Source organism: Homo sapiens, chromosome 4 (assembly GCF_000001405.40).
Source record: "Homo sapiens chromosome 4, GRCh38.p14 Primary Assembly".
NCBI lineage: Eukaryota > Metazoa > Chordata > Mammalia > Primates > Hominidae > Homo > Homo sapiens.
The window spans coordinates 36,651,299-36,657,434 of NC_000004.12; the positions used below are offsets into that span (position 1 = coordinate 36,651,299).

The 6,136-nt window shown below is 42.1% G+C and overlaps 1 annotated feature.

Annotated features, from left to right (window-relative positions):
• Positions 71-140: an enhancer, noted in NCBI's record as "active region_21411". NCBI's record gives its function as "activates an Ori minimal core promoter by ATAC-STARR-seq in GM12878 lymphoblastoid cells {active_cell/tissue: GM12878}" and the evidence as "EXISTENCE:reporter gene assay evidence [ECO:0000049][PMID:35858748]".

Consider the following 6,136-nt stretch of genomic DNA (forward strand, 5'->3'; position numbering starts at 1 on the left):
GTGAGATCATTCGAGCAGAAGGGAAAAGCATGTGAGAAGTTCTTAAGGTAGTCAGGAGCAGGCATAGGCCACTTGACAAAGAGAACTGTGCTTACTCTGGTGCAGTTAAGGCCCAAGATAATCCTCAAGGGTTGCCAAGTCAGGATGAAAGTGAACAAGAGGAAGCTGAGTCATCTGTGCAGAGTCAGGTGAAAAGGTGATGATTAGTGATGAGACCACGTGGGTTCTGTACCAACAGAAATCAAGACATGAGGTGGTTTAAAGCAGGTTATGAAGATTCCTAATGTAGACGGAAATAAGAGATGAGCCTAAAAGTTTTAACAGGAGCCAGATCCTATAGGTGCACTGGGACATTTTAAAGCTTGTGGTCTCCATTGAGAGTAACTGGAAATCATTGAAGATGTCTAAGGTAGGGAAGGACAGAATCATACTTGTATTTGAAAAAGATCACCATGGCTCTTCAGAGAAGAGCAAGCAGAGACTGTTACTCTCATTCACCATCTCCTGAATGTGCCTCATGCCTGATCATACCCACGTAACTACTCACCGTTCCTACTATTGAAGTATGTTGCCCTTACCAATCCCTTTTCCTACCTCAACATATCCAACTTATCAAAATCCCAGGTGTCCTTAATTGCTCAACAAAAATTCTGCCTGCTTCATAAATCTAACCATCAGTTCACAGATGGTTCTGAGAGTTCATTTTCTCCTCTAGCGATTAATTCCTCTTACTTTCACCTGATTCGTTTACAGTTAGAACATTTTACAAAGTATGACTGCTTTGTCATACTTTGGATAGTCTACCTTTTTATTCTGTTTTAGATACAAGCATTTTCCCACTGTCAACATTTTGAGGACATTTGTCACATCTTATCATCTCTATGTATCTACCCTTCTAGCATTTAGAATAATGACTTAGACATAGCAGATGGTATTTTTTTTATTGTAGCAATCTATCACACAGAGATTCTTAATGCATGATTTTGAAGGAGGTTGGGGCACTTAACAGAGAAATCCAGATGCGGAGTTCAGCAAAGAACCCGAACTGGTTTCTGCAGTGATCATCTCATTATTCCCTTGTTGGGCTGCCAATATCACCTGATCCACATTTTAAGACCTGGTTTCTAGATATTTCTTTTCAATTATTGTTTGCCTCTCTCATTAAGAAATAAATGCAAGATTTTAAATGTTTCACTGCCGGAGTTAATAGATGCTATTTGTATATTTGACGGATGTGATTAATAAGATCCATTAGAACAAAAAGAATATAAATAATTGCTTTGAGAAATAGAAAATGCTAATTGCTAGAGACAATCAAGGAGCATCCTTGTGCTTGAATAGGCAGCACCAAACTATGTAATTGCTTACTGCCCTCCCTTTGTGTTTTTACAGGAGTGAGAACTGGTGTTTAATTGTTATTCCATAGTTTCATTTGTACCATACACCTGCTGCTTTTGAATATAATAATTAAATCATTCAGTTTACAATTCCACATCATCTTTAAAAAATTATAACTGTTTAATTAAAAAGAATAAAAGTGACAGCTTGCAAAGTATCATTTTGCATTGTATTGTTTAGTCACTGGTATATCTCAGCTATCACATGCGAGAAACATCTCATTTCCCTTAACCACTGCTCAGAAGGACAGCCTCTTTAGGTACTCATGTCTTTTCCTCCAAACTATTTTATCTGACACCAAACATAGGTTTCAAGTTTCCAAGTAAAGTATGACATCTCTCTAGGTTTGTTGACATGTTTCCAATCCTGTGGGTGTCTCCCAAGCAACAGAATTTTAGGAGGACTAAACATAGTACATGAAAAACAGATGGAAATTGAGATGTTGATCAAGTGAACAGTAAAAGTATAAATCAGAAGAAGGACAGGCTTTACCTAGATGCTTGTAACCTAGTGATACTGCAAGAAGCTAGTAGGAAAATCAACAGCAGATATACTAGCCTCTAACAGGCAGAGCTAGAGGTGAGCTATAAGTTTGAGCCTGATGTGATAGGCAAAATATTACTCCCCATACCCTAGAAAACAGCCATTTCAAATTCCTGGAACCTATCAATATGTTGTTACATGACATAGGAGAATTAAAGTTGCTAATCAGCTGACTTTAAAGAGGAAAACTATCCTACATTATCTAGGTGGGCCAAAGTAATAACAAGGGTCCTTAAAAGTCTTTAAAAGTGGGAGAGGGCAGCAGAAGAGGTCAGTGGGAGCTGTGACTACAGAAAGGCAGCCAGAGAGAAATGCAACATTGGTGTCTTTTATGCTGGGAGTAGGGGTCCAAGAGCTAAGGTAGGCTGGTGGCCTCTAGAAGCTGGAAGAGGCAAAGAAATAGATTCTACCCTAAAACTTTCAGAAGGAAATGCAGGCTTGCCAGCATCTTAATTTTAGGCCAGTGGGATCCAACTGTGGCTTCTGACCTCCAGGATTATGAGATAAGTTTGTGCTGTTTGGAGCCACGAAGTTTGTAATAATTTGTTACAGCGGCGATACAGAACTAATAAAACCAGCATTGTCTGTTTCTGTCACTGTTGTGGGGCTTGGAACCCAAGAGGTAAGGAGTAAGAAGATGAGTCACTGTATCTGTGCAGAGCCAGGTGAGAAGATGGACCTATACTAGAAGGTCCAGGAGGTTCTAAACAGAGGGGACTGATACTTGCAGTGGTTTGAGCTGACACAAAAATATAAGTCAGGAATGCTTCCTTGACGCAGGGACCTCTATGCAGTTAACACCATCCCTTCTTTAAGATTCTCTCCTGAAATAGAGGAAAGCCAGTATTTGCCCGAAGCATCTGAATGGAAGGTCCTCACACATGTGGGTGAGTATCTGAGATCAAAGGACATTTCTCACAACTCACTGCTCTCAGCCATTCCCTTTATATATACCAGACACTGTCCGTGGCTAATGAGCTACTGATATTCCAGCACCTCCTCTATGTCATACATCAGTCCTCATCCTGAAGACTGTGGCAGGTTGCTCTGGTATAAGGTGATAATGCAGAGTCTCAAGGAGCTAGAAATAGCCTGAAATAGTGAGCAGTGAGATAGTGAGACTGGATTCAGCAGATCATAGCACTGACACACACCATAACCTCAAGTGTCCCCAGGTAGCAGTCTCTGTATCCTTGGACAATTGTATATGTATGATGGGGTGAAATCAGGCTACACATCCCACTCAGAATTTCTTCTAGAGAATCTATTGTTCCTAGAAGTTCTTCCAGGTGCTCTGTGGTTCTCCCAGATACTGGCCTTTAGTTGTAGAATGGAGATGAAAACTAGAGTTGAAGGGAGTCTTTCATTTGGAACATCATGCTCCATTATAAGAAATCCTAGCCATGAATTGAAAAGTGTATCAGTTATGCTGTGGCAAGAGATGTAATAGTAGAGAGACTCTTCTATTATACAAAAATGCAATTTCATTAGGCCATCATCAGGGGACAAGTAGACATGGTCCAGGAGAGAGGTGGCCATGAACCTGAAAAGCATAGATTATAACCATCTGAAATGATGATACAAACAAGTCTCTGCAGTTGGATATCTGTGTGCTTGGAAGTCCAAGGAAGCTGCTTTCTCACTTTGTACACACACACACACACACACACACACACACACACACACACACAAGGTATCTATATATGAAGGCAAGATAACATTACATGTAATATTCCAATGAGTGTGTTCACACTAAACATGGAAGTAACTGTGAAAAACAGTAATATCTGGGACTCAGGGTATAACAGACCTTTGGGTCACTGTGTTAGGCTGTTCTTGCATCACTATAAATACCTGAGCCTGAGTAATTTATAAAGAACAGAGGCTTAATTGGCTCAAGGTTCTGCATGCTGCACAAAAAGCATGGCGCTATTATCTGACTAGCTTCTGAGGTGGACTCAGGGAGCTTTTATTCATAGTGGACAGTGAAGCAGGAGCAGGCATCTCACACGTCGAGAGCTGGAGCAAGAGTTGGTTGGGGGAAGGTGCCATACACTTGTAAACAACCAGATCTCATTAGAACTCACTCATTATCACAAAGGCAGCACCAAGCCATGAGGGATCCACTTCCACAACCCAGGCCCCACCTCCAACACTGGAGATTATATTTCAACATGAGATTTGGACAGGACAAATAAATATCTAAACCATACCAAGGCTTGTGTACCAGATCCAGATTTGTGCATTGGACTACAAAATTTTATTTATATAGCATTCTGTGTTTGAATGGAGAAATGTAGGCAGCCAAAATGTTATGCATTACAGGTTAAAGTGAGGGTTTTTAAAAAATTATTATTATCATTGAGCTAATTTTTTTAAAAATTGACAGTCTTATATCTAAAGTCTAGGATGCAGTTGAATTCTGCTTTGCCTATCACCTTTCCAAATCATGAGATTCCCAAGGGAAGTAGACACCTAAGATACATAGAGAATGGAAGGTAAATCAACCCTTTAGTGTTAGCTGAGTCTCCTGTAGTATTTGCCATGGCAGAACTCTGATAAAGCTTGATTAGAAGGCTTAGTTCAATTTTGAGACCTAAGTCAAAAGTTTAATCATCAAATATTATTATTTTCTGGCCAGCCATATTGTATAGAAACAAGAAACAATGATCATTTTCTGAAACAATGATCATTCTGAAACAAAGTATGGCTAGGCCCCAAAAGGGTCTTGGCTCTAGATCAGTTTAAATTTCAGCACATGAAAGAAAGAATAAGAAACAGAAGTTAGGCTTCTAAGTTGGCTGAATAGAAACAGTTCTGGTCTGCAGCTCCCAGCAAGATTGGCACAGAAGACAAGTGATTTCTGCATTTCCAACGGAGGTACCTGGTTCTTCTCACTGGGACTGGTTGGACAGTGGGTGCAGCCCATGGAGGGTGAGCTGAAGCAGGGCAGGGCATCACCTCACCCAGGAAGTGCAAGGGCTTGGGGGATTTCCCTTTTCTGGCCAAGGGAAGCTGGACAGACTGTACCTGGAAAAATGGTACACTACTGCCCAAATACTGTGCTTTCCCCATGGTCTTAGCAACTGGCAGACCAGGAGATTCCCTACCCGTGCCTGGCTCAGTGGGTCCCACACCCACGGAGCCTTGCTCACTGCTAGCGCAGCAGTCTGAGGTCAACCTGTGAGGCTGCAGCCTGGTGTGGGGAGAGGTGTCCACCATTGCTGAGGCTGGAGTAAATAAACAAAGCTGCCGGGAAGCTCGAACTGGGTGGAGACCACTGCAGCTCAGCAAGGCCTACAGCCTCTATAGACTCCACCTCTGTGGGCAGGGCACAGCTAAACAAAAGACACCAGACAACTTCTGCAGACTTAAACATCCCCGTCTGACAGCTCTGAAGAGAGCAGTGGTTCTCCCATCATGGTGTTTGAGCTCTGAGAACAGACAGACTGCCTCCTCAAGTGGGTACCTGAACCCTGTGTAGCCTAACTGGGAGACACCTCCCAGTAGGGGCCAACAGACACCTCATACAGGCAGATGCCCCTCTTGGGTGAAGCTTCCAGAGGAAGGATCAGGCAGCATTATTTGCTGTTCTGCAGTATTTGCTGTTCTGCAGCCTCTGCATGTGATACCCAGGCAAACAGGGTCTGGAGTAGACCTCCAGCAAACCCCAACAGACATGCAGCTGAGGGGCCTGAATGTTAGAAGGAAAACTAAAAAACAGAAAGGAACAGCATCAACCAACAAAAAGGCCATCCACACCAAAACCCCACATGTAGGTCACCAACATCAGAGACCAAAAGTAGATAAAAACACAAAGATGGGGAGAAACCAGAGCAGAAAAGCTGAAAATTCCCAAAACCAGAGTCCCTCTTCTGCTCCAAAGGATCTCAGCTCCTCGCCAGCAATGGAACAAAATTGGATGGAGAATGACTTTAACAAGTTGAAGTAGGCTTCAGAAGATCGGTAATAACAAACTTCTTCGAGCTAAAGGAGCATATTCTAACCCAATGCAAGGAAGCTAAAAACCTTGAAAAAAGGTTAGACAAATGGCTAACTAGAACAAACAGTGTAGAGAAGACCTTAAGTGACCTGATGGAGCTGAAAAACCACAGCATGAGAACTTCATGATGCTTGCACAAGCTTCAATAGCCAATTCCATCAAGTGGAAGAAAGGATATCAGTGATTGAGGAT